Below are 16,005 nucleotides of genomic sequence, written 5' to 3'. Positions count from 1 at the left end.
GGGTGGTGGCATATGCCCCTAATCCCAGCTACTTGGGATGCTGAGGGAGAATTGCTTGAACGCGGGAGGCAGAGGTTGCAGTGAGCCGAGATTGCGCCACTGCACTTCAGCCTGGGTGACAGAGCAAGACTCCATCTCGCGGGAAAATAAAATAAAATAAAATAAGTGGCAGGTTTATTCATTACAGGCTTATAGTTCTTCCTCAAACCACAATGAGTCCCATTTTCTGCCATATTCACGCTGAAATGTGTGGTCAAGTTTTTCATAAGTCTGGTGGGGCCATTGTTATATGATGGCTTTATAAATTCTTGACTGGAAACCTAAGACTCTTAATTAAAGCTCAAAGATGCAGAATGAGTGATTTGCAGAAAATAGCTCATAAAAAATAGCTGCTAACTGAATGAAACCCTGGGAAAAGAGTCTACAAAACAAAACAAAAAAAACACAAAAAAATCAGGATTATAAAAACCAATTTAGTACATTCATGAATCCATCACTCAAAAAATGAAATCATAAGTGAATGCTTTTAATATTTTACATGTTTCTAAATAAGTAAACTATTCAAAAGCTCTCTTATATTATTGTGCCACTTAGACACATAAAAAAACTAAAAATGGCAATGTGGGTACCATTTAAACAGAAAATATACTTTTATTACAAGCATTTTCTTGTTTTCAGAAAATCTTGGCTATTCAAAAGCATTCATATTTTCTCTCTTTTTTTCTTTCTTTTTTGTTCTGTTTTGCTTTGTTTTGACACAATGTCTTGCTCCATCACCCAGGCTGGAGTGCAATGGTGCCATCACAACTCACTGAAGCCTTGACCTCATGGGCTCAAGGGATCCTCCTGACTCAGCCTCCCAAGTAGCTGGGACTACAGGTCCATGCCTGGTTACTCTTTTAAATTTTTTTTGTAGAGGTGTGGTCTCTCCATCTTGCTCAGGCCAGTCTTGAACTCCTGGCCTCAAGCAACTCTCCTGTCTTGGCCTCCCAAAACACTGGGATTACAGGAGTGAACCACTGTACACAGCCTTTTTCTCTTGTGAGTATAGAAGATATTTTACACACATATTTCTCAATATGTAAACTGAAGGTTAATACCTTGAAGCAATTTATGTACTTATTTTTAAGCTACATATTAAAAAGGGCATATTACCTCAATCAAATCAATAGTTAAGATCAATTGGTCAGGTATGGTGGCTCACGCCTGTAATCCCAGCATTTTGGGAGGCCAAGGCAGGTGGATCACCTGAGGTCAGGAGTTCGAGACTAGCCTGGCCAACATGGCAAAACCCCATCTCTACTAAAAATACAAAAATTAGCCAGGTGTGGTGGTGCATGCCTGTAATCCCAGCTACTCAGGAGGCTGAGGCAGGAGAATCATTTGAATCTGGGAGGCAGAGGTTGCAGTGAGCCGAGATCGCGCCACTGCACTCCAGCGTGGGAGACAGCAAGACTCTGTCCAAAAAAAAAAAAAAAAAAAATCAATCTTAAATTGAACATGTAGAATCAGAACATCATCCCTTCATTTAAAAATGAAAAATTAGTAATGCAGTGGTTCACACTTGTAATCCCATCACTTTAGGAAGTTAACTTGGGAGGACTGCTTGAGGCCAAGAGTTCAAGATCAGCCTGTGCAACAAAAAGAGACCCCTCCAATGCTAGAAAAAATAAGAAAAATATAATAAGCTGAGCGTGGTAATGCACGCCTATAGTCTCAGCTACTGGGAGGCTGAGGCAGGTGAATCCCTTGAGCACAGGGAGGCGAGGCAGCAGTGAGTCTTGATTACACCACTGCACTCCAGCCTGCGTGACACAGGGAGACCCTGCCTCTGAAAAACAAAAAATAAAAAATTAAAAAGATTAAAATAAAGATATATTAATTCATATTCTAAATAAAGAGATTCAACTATTGTTAGTAGTTAATAATAACTCACTTTTTTTTCTTTGGAGACAGAGACTTGCTCTGTCACCCGGGCTGGCGTACAGTAGCACAATCTCAGCTCACTGCAACCTCCACCTCCCAGGTTCAAGCAATTCTCCCTGCCTCAGCCTCCCCAGTAGCTGGGATTACAAGTGCCCACTACCACACCTGGCTAATTTTTGTATTTTTAGTGGAGGTGGGGTTTCGCCATGTTGGCCAGGCCGGTCTTGAACTCCTGACAGGTGATCCACCTGCCTCGGCCTCCCAAAGTGCTGGAATTACAGGCATGAGCCACCGTACCCAGCCAATAACTCACATTTATGAACTGCTCATCGTATGTCATGCACAGTTCTATTTATTTATTTATTTATTTATTTATTTATTTATTTATTTATTTATAAGAAGGAGTCTCACTCTGTCTCCCAGGCTGGAGTACGGTGGTGTGATCTTGGCTCACTGCAACCTCCACCTCCTGGGTTCAAGCAATCCTCCTGCCTCAGCCTCTTAAGTAGCTGGGACTACAGGCGCCTGCCACTATGCCTGGCTAATTTTTGTATTTTTGGTAGAGATGGGGTTTCACTATGTTGGCCAGGGTGGTCTTGAACTCCTGACTTTAGGTGATCCACCGCCTTGGCCTCCCAAAATGCTGGGATTACAGGCGTGAGCCACCAAGCCTGGCCTTTGTTCTCATTATTTAAATAATCCTCATGAGAACCCAATGATGTTGGTGACTGTTAACCTCATTTTACAGATAAGGAAACTGAGGTACAGAATAATTAAATAACTCACCCAGGTCACATGTCCGGTAAGGGTTAAAGCCACAATTTGAACTCAAACAACCTAAAATAGTTCCTTTGCTCTTAACTACTTTACTATTCTACCTATCAGTTTTCTAAGAGATGTTCAATTAACTTTTGTTTGTTTGTTTCTAAATGTTTTAACTCACAGATTAAGGTTGTTACTCTTCTCTTTCAAAACTTTTTTTTTAAAAGACTGGGCATTTCCAAACAAGGAATGCTACAAAGTTGTTAATGGTTTATTTCACAAAGGAGGTCCTTAAAATCCTATGAAAACAGACAAAGACAAACTCCTATAGCAAAGATACATATTCTTGAACTAGAGTATTCCTTTCCTCTACAAATAATTTAATGTTGAAACACTAAATTTTTAAAGCACACACACACATAAACATGTTTTAGCTCTAGGTTAAAAACAATTGTTGGCTGACAGCAAGACCAATACAAAATTATTATTAAAGTCAACAAAGTCAAGGGTGCTTAGGATACATTTTAAAGGAAACTAGGTCCTACTAGATTAAGGGCAGTTAAAAAAAAAAAAAAAAAAAGCGGTGAGTAACTAGGGCTCAGGGCATATCCCAAGATTTTTTATTCTGCTCCTCAATGGCTCTTTACTTAAAAATCATGTGATTCTTATAATGCTTTTATTTTCTTTCTTACTACCTCATGCTAGGAGAAAGAAGGAAGCCACAACCAGGCAGAGTGATGGGTGGACACATGGAAACTTCCTCACTCACTACTTGCTGCAAAAGGAATCTAGCAAATAGTGAATGAAACATCAAAATCAACCATGAATGGAACTTGCATCAGACACCCAAGGAGAACTGCAATGTATCTCTGTGAACACAGAGAACATTAGTCTGAAGAGCAAACATAAATACAAATATATTTCCGTTTTCACCAATCATCTTGAAAAACAAACATAAATACAAATATATTTCCATTTTCACCAATCATCTTGAAAGCCATAGAAGAGCCTTTCAGAAAAAAAAAAAAAAAAAAAAAAACTACTATCGCAGAAAGGAAATACTAGCCCTTTCTCAAGCGTTTGTCTTCTGAGTCTCAGAGTTACCATAATGCCTGGATACCCAGTCTCCAGGATGGAGATGTCTGTATTACATGACTTGACATGGCAGGAAAGATACAAGATAGGTTATCTCTGTGAAGCATCTCTCCTCATAAAGAATTAATGCTGCCCAGTGAAACACTTCAGAGAACAAAAGAAGGGACGTTCAACATCTGGCTAGGAGCAAAGCTAATGAGGAAGAGACCTACCATTTTCAGGTCTTCTTACAAAAGTGAATTAATAAATAGATGAGCATATCATTTGAAAAATGACAATTTATGTACTCAAAAAATACATTTTATCTCAAAATTAGTCTGAAGGTTTAGTTAATTCTTGTAGTCTCAGTCTGTACTCACAGGTATTAAATGGTATCACTGATAGTGAGAGTCAGTCTCTGTCCATTTAGATTCACTCTTTTGAGACCAATTTCATTTTTACTAATGCCAAGAATGTGTGTCAACCACAGGTAGGCACATCGTCTATTACAGTGGGATTATGACAGTCAAGTCTTAGACACGAAACAATCAGGTAGCACCACAGCACTCTTAAAAAGGACACATTAGATAAACAATAGTTTTTCCTCTTACATCCTTTGTAAAATTGAGCTACGGATTTGCAAATGAATAAATTTGCATTGAACTACATATTTCCCACTATTTCACTGTACTCTACAATTAGCTTTTAAAAGAATGATTTAAAGATCTTTCAGTGGTGTGCATATTGTTATAAATAATAATTCCCCCTTTTAAGGAACCACATTCTATCAGTATAGAGAGACAGGTATACAAATATTTGTACATATATACATGGATAGATACTTTTTTCTTTTTTCTTTAATAAGAATTACAGATGAGATCTCGCTATGTTACCCAGGCTGGTCTAACTCCTGGCCTCAAGCGATCCTCCAGCCTTGGCCTCCCAAAGCAGTGGGATTACAGGTGTGAGGCGCTGTGCCTGGCCGCCTTTTCCTTTAGAGAGAAAGAAAATCTGCCGGGCGCGGTGGCTCACACCTGTAATACCAACACTTTGGGAGGCCGAGGTGAGTGGATCACGAGGTCAGGAGATCGAGACCATCCTGGCTAACACGGTGAAACCCCATCTCTACTAAAAATACAAAAAATTAGCCGGGCGTGGTGGCAGGCGCCTGTAGTCCCAGCTGCGCAGGAGGCTGAGGCAGGAGAATGACATGAACCCGGGAGGAGGAGCTTGCAGCGAGTCGAGATCACACCACTGTACTCCAGCCTGGGCGACAGAGCGAGACTCCGTCTCAAAAAAAAAAAAAGAAAAAAAGAAAATCACAAGGCATACGACATCTCTAAAATGTCTTGCATTAACTCAGCCCACTCTTGAGCATAAAAGAATTATCAAAAGAAAGTTACCATGGAGCAGTCTTGATTACTTTAGAGACTGTACAAAGTGTTGGGCCTCAGGCAGCCAGAGGACAGGTAATGACTCGACACAGAAACATCTGGTTGGGGCTCTCACTATCCCTGCCTGGGTCACTAAAGTAGTCTCCTTCCCTCCAACCTCATTGCCACCCCATCGCCTACAAAAGTTACTTTTCTGGCCGGGCGGGCGTCGTGGCTCACGCCTGTAATCCCAGCACTTTGGAAGGCCGAGGCAGGCAGATCACCTTAGGTCAGGAGTTCAAGACCAGCCTGGACAATATGGTGAAAACCCATTTCTACTAAAAATACAAAAATTAGCCGGGCATGGTGGCAGATGCCTGTAATCCCAGCCACTTGGGAGGCTGAGGCAGGAGAATTGCTTGAACCTGGAAGGTTGAGGGTTGCAGTGAGCCGAGATCGCGCCACTGTAACTCCAGCCTGGGCAACAGAGTTTGACTCACTCAAAAAAAAAAAAAAAAAAAAAAAAAAAAAGAAAGAAAGAAGAAAGAATGAAATAAAAAAGTTACTTTTCCAAAACACAGACGCAAGTAGTCCCATGCCCAATGGCCTCTTTCACCGGTGCCCACAAACCTTATCCAGCAACATCAGCACCCAGATCTGGGAGATCTGTGCCCTTCCACCTTTGTCCCTCTTTGCTCTGTGGGGAAGGGCCCACCTCGCACCTTCCTTTTTATCCCTCTCACTAGAAAAGACCTCTCTGGGAACTCCTACTTATCCCTCAGGGCCCAAATCCAAAGGTATGTCTGGTAGGGGCCGCCCAGACGCTCCTGGGTTGCTGATCCTGAGTGAAGGGATCCTACCGCCTTCGGGGCGCTCTGCCCACTGCCCTGTGAGGTTGGGTATATACTCAGCGACCGTGGGGCTGAGGCTTTTGCAGCAAAACTAACCTTTTGTAGAATTCAAGGGCAAGTATCGCTAATAGCTCAATAGCTTAAACAAACAAAAATTAGCAGCCAATAAACGTCTGAAGAAGATGTGTGAAAGAATGAACTATACACAGTTGCAAATGGAAGTCAGTTTCAGGGAAATACATGATCCAACTCTCAGCTTCCCCATCTACTATCTGCATGACTTAGGACACAGACGTTTACATCTGAACTGTAAAATGAGGGCAAGAATACTCACTGACCACACCTCCTACAAGGATCAAGTAAGGAAATGTATGCGCAAGATCCAGCACAGCCCCAGGACTCTACACAGGAGCACTGCCTCTCACTCCGTCCCCATAGAGCTGCATGCAAAGGACCTCAGTAAGAAGCCAGGTGGCAGAGGGAAGGGTTGTATGGCTGAGCAAAAGAAAGACAAGGTAGAGAACAGCAAATAAAGGCAGAAAGGCAGGAGAAGGGAATCATGGAAGAAGGTCACTTAAGCTTAAGGGGTCTCCTTTAGCAGGAAAAGATTCGGCAACCCCAACCAAAATTATCAAAGCCGGCCAGGCGCAGTGGCTCACGCCTGTAATCCCAGCACTTTGGGAGACCGAGGTGGGTGGATCACTTGTGGCCAGGGATTTGAGACCAGCCTAAACCCTGTCTCTACTAAAAATACAAAAATTAGCCAGGTGTGGTGGCAGACGCCTGTAATCCCAGCTACTTGGGAGGCTGAGGCAGGAGAATCGCTTGAACTCGGGAGGCAGAGGTTGCAGTGACCGGAGATTGCACCACTGCACTCCAGCCTGGGAGACAGAGTGAGACTCCTTCTCAAAAATAAATAAATAAACAAATAAATAAATAAAATTATGAAAGCCATTGACTTAGTCTTTGCCAAAGAAGTGAACATCCAGACGCCTGAGTTCTGCCTCCTCTCTGTTACCCTGAGTAAGTCTTTTACACCTGGAAGCCCTCCAAACCCTTCTCTCTAAATGAGAGTTGAGGGTGCATTTCCAAGGGCGCTTCAATCCCTTCCAGTACATAACCCTGCAACTTCTCCACATAGAGAGGCCACAAGGCTTTCTTCAGTGGGCTAAAAGGAACATCATAAAATTAAGGTGAAGTCAGAATATTTGAAATGTGCTTGACTCTCAAATTCCAAGACGTAAAATTAATTAAGTCATTAGCTGATAGGCACAACTCTAGACACCTCCCAAGAGAACATGTAAATTAACTGCTTTCAAAGGAGTTAGCATTTTAAAAGCCCCCTCAGGATCTCACTAACATCTCCCCGCCCCACACTGGGCCTAAAACAACAAAGGAAAAGAGGGAGACATTTTGTTTGTTTGTTTTAGGGGTTTTCTTGTTAATTTTTTAGGAATGGAGTAAATAGTAAGATAGGATGAATATAGCAGTTCTGTGGACTGATGCCTGCCTTTCTGTAGCTTGCACAGGAATTAGAGTAGGGGAAGGTTCGGAGTATCTCTATACAATGGATATTTTTTAAACATGCTGGGAAATGGGTGTAAATTGTAGAAACAGAGCAAAAACAGAGGAAATTTCAGGTTTGGGGGAGGTGCATCTTGCAGGATCCTGCAAACAATAGGCACTTACTAACCCCCTTCCCAGTTAACAAGTAGATTTAAAGGCTTCTAAGGCTTTGCCTTAGAAGTCCTCAAATCCTGTAGGCAGAAGCTGAAGAACCATCACAATTTACCAAATGGATAAATCAGTTCTGAAAAAAGGATCTACCACACCTAACTGTATCAACAACCTTAGCAATTCCCGCTCTTAAAAACAACTTCCCTCCCCTACCTAAAAAAAGGAATGCCGTGTCTGCCAACTATGGAGTAAAGAAAAAAGGGTAAAATTCCACAGGATTCTAACTCAGTTTTGCACTTCTCAATAGAAGTCTACACATGTCACAGGGAGAAGTGACATGCTTTGAAAACCCTGGCCTACCACATGTCGTGGTGTTAGTGAACAGAATGGCACATTTCACAAGAACGCCAAGGTTTAATAGCTCAGGGCTTATAAACATGTTGCAGTTTACCATTAGTTTCCAGTGGAAGCACTGGGATTTTAATTTGCACGATGAAACTGCCCAAAATGCAGTTTCAGCCAGAGCAGAATGTATTCACATCTTTATAAATGTAACCCATTACATTACAGCAGGCACATGTGTCTTGACAGAACAATGCTTTGATGTGACTCCTGCATTTAAGAAATACATACTTTTCCCCTTTTTCTTTCAACAAAGCCATGTTCTCAGCACCCAGTTAAGTCAGGAGCACTGGAGATAGAAAAATGAGTAAGACACTGACCCTGCCCTCCAGGCACTCACAATCTAGTTAATTTTTTTTTTTTTTTGCAAGCTTGTTTTCTCTTAATTCTATATCCATTTATATATTCACTTATTAGCATTTATTTATTCTAGTACTGCTCAAACATTTTCATGCCGTAAATTATACTATTATTTCTTTTCTAAATGAGCACTTTGTTAACAATTATCTGAAAGCAACTATTTGGTGCTTAACTGTGCATGGACTGAATTAATCTAAATGCAAAATGTGTCCTAATGAACTCAAACAACCATCCTGTATTTACTGAGATCCATGACTCTGGGGCAATACTTTCACTGGGTTATAACCAACAAAATCCCCTGGGGGACAACTGCTCAATATTGCTCATTCACCTAAAAATGTTTTCACTTACTAAGCTGTGAGTTTTGTCATTTCAAAGTTCCACATACAGTATTGATAAGCTGTGTGGTTTGATTTCCACAATTAGAATAATCTGAAAAAGTAAGGTAGAACTGTGTCTGAAATCTGTTAAGGATAATGTTCAGATGTGTAATTTCCCAACTACCTCTACTGTCCTCTTCAAGTTCAGTACGGAAAAAGAATCTTGTAAGTCACATTTTACCTAAAACACACAGGATTTCTAAATGTACTGAACTACATTTCTACTGAATTCATCTGAGAGTTAACTATGGAGCGTCATGACATCAGGATCCCTACTGGAGGGGCCAGCGACCAGGGACAAGTCTAACATTGTCACTAACATGGTATGTGCCATTGGCCAAGTCACTTCACCTGTCTAGATTGATAGATGATTGCAAAATCTTATATTTTAAATAAAAAAGGAAGGAAATGGTGTCTCTTGTTTCAGTGAGAATAAAGTCAACTGTTAATTTTGTGTCTTGATGTATTTCCCCGAAGACTCAGTTTGTATAAACACTTGGATGACAGCTTTCCCTCCCTTTTAGCCTGGTGTCTCCCTGCAAGACATCTACAAAGGAGCAGTAAGCCATGTCTTCCTCTGAATTTTACTAAGGAACAATCTCCATGCCTGTTTACCCCAGATAAACAAGAGGAAAACATGAGCAAACACAACCTGTCTGGGACAGGCTTTACGTTCTTCCCAGCCTGATCCTGAATGATTAGCTGAAGTACATATTTTCTTTGCTCCTGCATCTGCCCTTTCAATAGCAGGTTTGAGCTTCTGAAGCCCCACCCCATCTTTTAACTCAGCCAAAGAACACTCCACTACAACTGACCCAACAGTGCTGGAATCTGTCAGGGAAGGGAAAGCAAATCTGCAGAAAATGCCACTGGCCAACCCTCTTCCCCAAAAGAACCCTCAGCCCAAGTTTCATTTAAACAGGCCCCCAATCCTCCCCGCCCCCAGCCCAACGCCCTAGAGTAAGGGATACAATGGGATATTATCAAACCAATTTCCTCAGTGACTGAAAACTTAGAACTGGATCTAGACAAGAAATAACAGGATAACTTAAAAACAGTCTATCGGGCGCGGTGGCTCACGCCTGTAATCCCAGCACTTTGGGAGGCCGAGGTGGGCAGATCACAAGGTCAGGAGTTCGAGACCAGCCTGGCTAACATGGTGAAACCCCGTCTCTACTAAAAATACAAAAATCAGCCGGGTGTGGTGTTGCGCGCCTGTAATCCCAGCTACTCAGGAGGCTGAGGCAGGAAAATTGCTTGAACTCAGGAGGCGGAGGTTGCAGTGAGCTGAGCTCGTGCCACTGCACCCCAGCCTGGGCGACGGAGCAAGACTTCGTCTCAAAAAAAAAAAAAAAAAAGAAAAGAAAAAGTTTATCACAACTTTAAAATGTCCATTAGGTTTTCTGGAACTTCAGTGAAGGATCATATTCATCTGTATACTTCAGAAAATGCAAAAACAAAACCTTTTAAATCTAAAATATATATTAGATTTAGGTATATTATATACATGTGCTATATATAGTATGTAAATATACATTGCATGCATATTTATATACATTTTTCAATACTGGAGAGTGACAAGAGCAGATAGAAATCTTTAACCAACGCTCGCTGGTTCTCTGTATAGTAAGAATCATAAATACCAATGGTCACCTGAAAATGGAGTAACTGGGCTTTTAGGATGTCCAGAAGGAAGAGACAGGAGACTTTGCAGGAAACAAATAAAACCTGAAAGACAGCTACACTTATTGAGCCTCTACTATATGCTATACAGTCTGCTGAGTACTTGATACACACATCAACCCAGCTAAATCTCAGAAACCCCAAGAAGCAAGTCTTCTTTTCTTCAATTTTCAGGTGATGAAACTGAGGATCAGAGAGGTTGAATGACTTGGCCAAGATCATGTAAACAGTCAATTGGAGAGCTGGCATTTGACCTAGTATAACTTACTTTGAAGCCCAAGAGTTTAATCACTGTGCTAAAAACTGTACACGGTTTATCATTCCCAAAGAAGAACTTTCACTCCATCTCCTCCCACTCAAAAAATATAAGATCTCAAAGCAAATCTAGAGACTTTTCTGATAATCTGCACATCTGGCCATTCCAAGTCTTTAAACTAAAGTTGTCTTTTATGTATGGATTAAGATGTCTGACTGTAATAAACCTCGCCCATCTGATTCCAGTCTACCTGCCTAACTACAGCTCCACCAAAGCAAATCTATTACTTCCCCAAGGTATTCAACCCTGAGCAGGTTAAAACTTCACCCTCCATACAGAAGAACTGCTTCCCAGAGACTATGCCAAATCCAGGGGCGCTTTTAGTCACTGGACATTTCAAAATACATGACAGCACAGATTTAGCAAAATAAGTCCTATTGTTTTAGCCCCAAACATATAAAACAAATATCCTGTAACTCCACAAATTGAAAAACTGCAAAAAAAAGTAGGCAAACATTTTGGCAGTTCTGAGTAAGGAAATGTTTGTTTTCCCTCTTGTGGTCACACAACAAATGGTGAAGAGATAAACATCAGTAACATCAGCCTTTTCCCTAATCCAGCACCAACCAAATATTTATTTACATCTACTTTTTGAAGGCCTCTTTCTCGCCTTTTCCACACCAACATGTCAGCAGGTGTCCCAGATTAAACTGTTGAATATCATACCCGATTGTTTAAAAAACACCTTTTGACGGGACCTGTGGCTGGTTATTTTTTAATTAGGGTTTGAAATCCTATACTGTGTGTATTTAGCCCCCTAAGAACTAGAGCCAGAGAAGGACGCCTCTGCGGAGTGGGTTGCCCAGTGGGTGGGCGAGAAGGGAGCCCCCGGTTTCAGAGGGGCTGCTGCGAACTGTACTTCCTGCGCCGCCCCCTCCCCAGGTAACTTACCAGGATACCCATCACGTCGGTCCAGAGTCGGGAGAACGCCTCGGATGTGCCAGCACCCGGCTTGGGCTCCGGTTCCGGCTCCGGCGCGGGCTCGGGCTCCGGCTCGGGCTCGGGCTCAGGCTCCGGCCCCGGGCCAGCTGCTCCCGCGTCCTCCATGGCCGTGTCCCGCGCGCGGGCCGTGCGTCCCAGTCCCCGCGGCGCCCTCGCCCCGCACCCGCGCGCAGCCTGCCCGGATGCCGGGTCCCCGCCCGCGGCGTCACCGAGCCGCGCCCCCGCGCTGCATGCCCCGGCGGCCCCGGCCACCCCGCGGGGGCCCTTCGCAGGCGCCCGCACCTCGGGTCTAGGTGGCCACGGGCTGCGCGACTGACAACTCCAGAAACTTTCCCACCCCGCTCGGCGCAGCAACAGGGTAGCAGGAGGCAAAGTCCGCACCACTGAGTTGTACGGCGGGGAATTCGCTCGGCCCAGAAGCAATTAAACCCACTGCAAAGGCGTTTCTTCCTGTGACGGGAACCAACTAACTAAGGCACGCGACTCGTTCCTTCTAGCAAGTCTTGGCAGGACCCGGCAGGGGTGGCCGCGGAGCCTCTAGATCTTGGAGGGAGCTCCCCGGGACCCCTCTCTTCAAAATGAGCTCTTCCAGCTCCACATGACTCTCTCCCTCGAGGCTAAAGAAAGCGTTTAGCAACAAAAGGTGCTCTGATGTCAGGCTCTTTGCATGGAAATGAGCCTCGGACAGGAGAACAAATCGCCTGTTGAAAGAGCAGCCGCGCCGCGGTCTCCGGCCCGCACAAGTTTCCAATCACGCTATTCACGGAAACGCTTTTGGTAACGGAAACCCGAGAAAGTTAATCTTTAAGCGACTCCCGCCCAAAGGCTTCACAAGTAGTCCGTGTCGCTACAATGCATACCTCGCCCCTCGTGAAGTCAAGCGACCCAAGGAATTACAAATCCTGCCTCTGCCAGCCAAGACTTCTCTGCAAAACAAGTGTGAAAGCTTGGGCACGAGCCATTGTTTGGATCATTTTTTATGAGTGGGGGCATTTTGGCTCCTGAATGCCCACAATGCCATGCATTGCTAGGGCTTTCGGCTAATTAAGGGAAATGCGCTTTGGGTTTTAATTATTCCTTTACATTAGGGACACAGGGAAGGGCTATTTTCGAAACTAAATTCAAATGATTGTGTAGCCAGTCAGCCTACACACACTTGGGGCCCTGTGTGTGTTTTTCCAAGGGGAAGCCCCAGGACAGATTTATTTTATAAGGGAACTAGCCCTGGAGAGGTGATTTTTCCCTTTTGTGATTCTATCTTTCAAGACTACTCAGAGTTTTCCTTGGAAGGTGACAATGCACGTCACATTCGATTTGGTGATTGATCACTTTTGAAACAGTTAAGAAACCACATGGAGTTTGCTCCTCTGTTAGGGCCTTGTGGTTTAAAAGGAAAAAAAAAAGTGAGATGCCCCAGGGAGAGAGCCCTGCTTGTTTTGAGGCCTCTCCTGTTTCTTGTTGATTGTGGGGTTTTTTTTGTTTGTTTGTTTGTTTTGTTTTGTTTTGTTTTGTTTTCCTTCTGAGTCCACTTGAAAGGGGATAAGAGCATGTCCTTGAATTCCCCTTGTTCAAGTATTAAGTGCTGTGAGCACCAATCAATGCAATGGGTGAATAGTCCTTACAGGAAAGTTCAAAATGTAAAAACATTTTCAAAAGTAACTAAATTTATAAACACAATCCCTGATAATTTTTGTGTGTTTTTGGCGGGTGCGGGGCTGGCGCCTGTAATCCCAGCACTTTGGGAGGCTGAGGCGGGCGAATCACTTGAGGCCAGGATTTTGAGAACAGCCTGGTCAACACAGCAAAACCCTGTCTCTACTAAAAATACAAAAAAAAAAAAAACAAAAAAAAAAAACAAAACATAGCAAGAGTGTTGGAACATGCCTGTAATCCCAGCTACTCAGGAGGCTGAGGCAGGAGAATAGCTTGAACCCAGGAGGCGAAGGTTACAGTGAGGTCCTGCTGCTGCACTCCAGCCTGGGTGACAGAGGAAGACTCTCTGTCTCCAAAGAAAAAAAAAGTATGCTGAAAAATTTTTTTAGAGACAAGGTCCTGCTCTCTCACCCCGGCAGTGCAGTGCTGCAATCGTAGCTCACTGCGGCCTTGAACTCCTGGGCTCAAGCAATCCTCCTGCCTCAACCACCTGAGTAGCAGGGACTACAGGCACACCGCTGCACCAGACTAATTTTTTAAATTTTTTATAGAGACATGATCTCTTGCTGTTGCCCAAGGTGGTCTCAAACTCCTGGACTCAAGGGATCCTCCCTCCTTGGTCTCCTCAAGTGCTGGGATTATAGGCATGAGCCACTGCGCACAGTCTCTGACGATAATGTTTGTGAAAGGAAACCAAAAGAATTATTAAATTTCTCCTTAATAGCATTGAGGCATTGTGTTGAAGTAGAAAGAGCACTGAACTATGAGTCAGTACAGCCAGGTCTTGTGCTTTCCTAGGCTGATGCCGGAGTTAGGCCAGATGGGTTTTCAAGGCTCCCTCGTGCTCTGTGATACTTTGAATAAAAATAAATTCAGTTAAGGCTGATGAGGTTTTTTTAATTGTCATTTCTATAAATAGATAAATATAAGTAAATGATAGGAAAAGATAAATAGCCTTTACAGTTGACTGTATTGGTATATTTAAGAATTTGAATTTATTCACCACGTGATACTTTTTTTTTTTTTTTTGAGACAGAGTCTTGCTCTGTCACCCTGTCGCCCAGGCTGGAGTGCAGTGGCACCATCTTGGTTCACTGCAACCTCTGCCTCCCAGGTTCAAGCGATTCTCCTGCATCAGCCTCCTGAGTAGCTGGGATTACAGGCATGCACCACCACGCCTGGCTAATTTTTGTATTTTTAGTAGAGACGGGGTTTCACCATATTGGTCAGGCTGGTCTCGAACTCCTGACCTCATGATCCACCCGCCTCAGCCTCCCAAAGTGCTGGGATTACAGGCATGAGCCACCGTGCCTGGCCTGGTACTTTCTTAAATTTAAGAAGATGCAGAGGACTGTGCTGCTTCCAAGGGGCAGCCTGTTCTCTACATAAACACTTTCCAGCAAATAACTCAGCAAGGAGCCAGGCAAGCCGGGCAGTTGGGGCTGGGGTTAGGATGAAGCCTGACTCTCCAGCACCAATCCAGAATCATTTTCTTCTTGACTCATCAGATGACCTGGGGCAAAGCATTTGACCTGGTGCTAGTTTCCCCATCCAAGATGAGGCAAGGCCATACTAATGGCCACCTGCTTCTTCACAGGTTATAGTATGTTTCAGGGTCATCTAAAGACACGTACAGTTTAGTGACAACACATACCCGCATCAGTGTAATTAAACGGGCCGGGCATGGTGGCTCATGCCTGTAATCTCAGCACTTTGGGAGACTGAGGCAGGCACATCACTTGAGGCCAGGAGTTCGAGACCAGCCTGGCCAACATGACAAAACCCCATCTCTACTAAAAATATAAAACTTAGCCAGGCATGGTGGCACACACCTGTAGTCCCAGCTACTTGGGAGGCTGAGACAGGAGAATCGCTTAAACCTGGGAAGTGGAGGTTGCAGTGAGCCACTGCACTCAGCCTGGACGACAGAGCGAGACTCCATCTCAAAAAATACATCTATATAGATATTTATATAGATATCTATATTTATAATTATATATCTATATATATACACACACATATAATTAAACCTTAGCCAGCATTTTGGCACTTATAGAAATCAACCTATTCTAGATATTTAAGCTGTTTTTCCTGGTGCTTCTTAATCAATGGATAGGGAAATGAGATAATGTTTTGGGAGAAATGTTGATGCCTATACATAGAATGTGAAATTTGAGGCCAGGCATGGTTACTCATTCCTGTAATCCCAGCACTTTGGGAGGCCGAGGCAGAAGGATCATCTGAGGTCAGCAGTTTGAGACCATCCTGGCCAACATGGTGAAACCTCGTCTCTACTAGAAATACAAAAATTAGCTGGGCATGGCAGCATGTGGCCTGTAGTCCCAGCTACTTTCTACTTATCAATTTCCATGTGTTAACTCAACATGATCTGATTACCACTCCCAAGATTGACGACTCTTTTCTCTCTTAGTTAATGTCACTTGTCACTCCTTTCTTCTAAAATTTCCTTCAGGGGCTTTTTATCTCTCTCTCTCTTTTTTTTTTTTTTTTTTTTAAAGACAGAGTCTCGCTCATTGCCCAGGCTGGAGTGCAGTGGCCCGATTTCGGCTCACTGCAATCTCCCCCTCCTGGGTTCAAGCAATTCT

General features: G+C 43.4%; 1 protein-coding gene across 10 annotated transcripts in view, besides 4 other annotated features; it reads right to left on the bottom strand.

Moving 5' to 3' along the window:
• SASH1 (SAM and SH3 domain containing 1) overlaps nucleotides 1-16,005 on the bottom strand; it is a 358,577-nt gene that overhangs the window by 197,126 nt on the left and 145,446 nt on the right. For 4 of the 10 annotated variants that reach the window (NM_001346506.2, XM_017010598.3, NM_015278.5 and 1 more), the window contains exon 1: nucleotides 11,696-12,081. The exons of 5 other annotated variants lie outside the window; for them this stretch is intronic. Coding sequence is in view for 2 of the 5 variants with exons in the window: in XM_017010598.3 (XP_016866087.1) it covers nucleotides 11,696-11,851 (156 nt within the window). In the remaining 3 variants the exon portion in view is untranslated. Of the gene's footprint in view, nucleotides 1-11,695; nucleotides 12,082-12,606; nucleotides 12,639-16,005 lie in introns of those variants that run through there. One more of the 10 variants, XM_047418500.1, reaches the window with a different exon arrangement.
• Nucleotides 5,970-6,479: an enhancer, noted in NCBI's record as "H3K27ac-H3K4me1 hESC enhancer chr6:148669576-148670085 (GRCh37/hg19 assembly coordinates)". NCBI's record gives its function as "activates a minimal SCP1, AML or CMV promoter by ChIP-STARR-seq in naive H9 embryonic stem cells {active_cell/tissue: H9 hESC(naive)}" and the evidence as "EXISTENCE:reporter gene assay evidence [ECO:0000049][PMID:30033119]".
• Nucleotides 6,912-7,206: a silencer, noted in NCBI's record as "tiled region #8239; HepG2 Repressive non-DNase unmatched - State 23:Low, and K562 Repressive non-DNase unmatched - State 22:ReprW". NCBI's record gives its function as "represses a minimal TATA promoter and a strong SV40 promoter by Sharpr-MPRA in HepG2 and K562 cells {active_cell/tissue: HepG2 | K562}" and the evidence as "EXISTENCE:reporter gene assay evidence [ECO:0000049][PMID:27701403]".
• Nucleotides 7,498-8,006: an enhancer, noted in NCBI's record as "NANOG-H3K27ac hESC enhancer chr6:148668049-148668557 (GRCh37/hg19 assembly coordinates)". NCBI's record gives its function as "activates a minimal SCP1, AML or CMV promoter by ChIP-STARR-seq in primed H9 embryonic stem cells {active_cell/tissue: H9 hESC(primed)}" and the evidence as "EXISTENCE:reporter gene assay evidence [ECO:0000049][PMID:30033119]".
• Nucleotides 12,855-13,434: an enhancer, noted in NCBI's record as "H3K27ac hESC enhancer chr6:148662621-148663200 (GRCh37/hg19 assembly coordinates)". NCBI's record gives its function as "activates a minimal SCP1, AML or CMV promoter by ChIP-STARR-seq in primed H9 embryonic stem cells {active_cell/tissue: H9 hESC(primed)}" and the evidence as "EXISTENCE:reporter gene assay evidence [ECO:0000049][PMID:30033119]".

This window comes from Homo sapiens, chromosome 6 (assembly GCF_000001405.40).
Source record: "Homo sapiens chromosome 6, GRCh38.p14 Primary Assembly".
NCBI classification, from domain to species: domain Eukaryota; kingdom Metazoa; phylum Chordata; class Mammalia; order Primates; family Hominidae; genus Homo; species Homo sapiens.
Note: the sequence above shows the minus strand (reverse complement) of the source record. Positions and strands in the feature narration are given on the sequence as shown.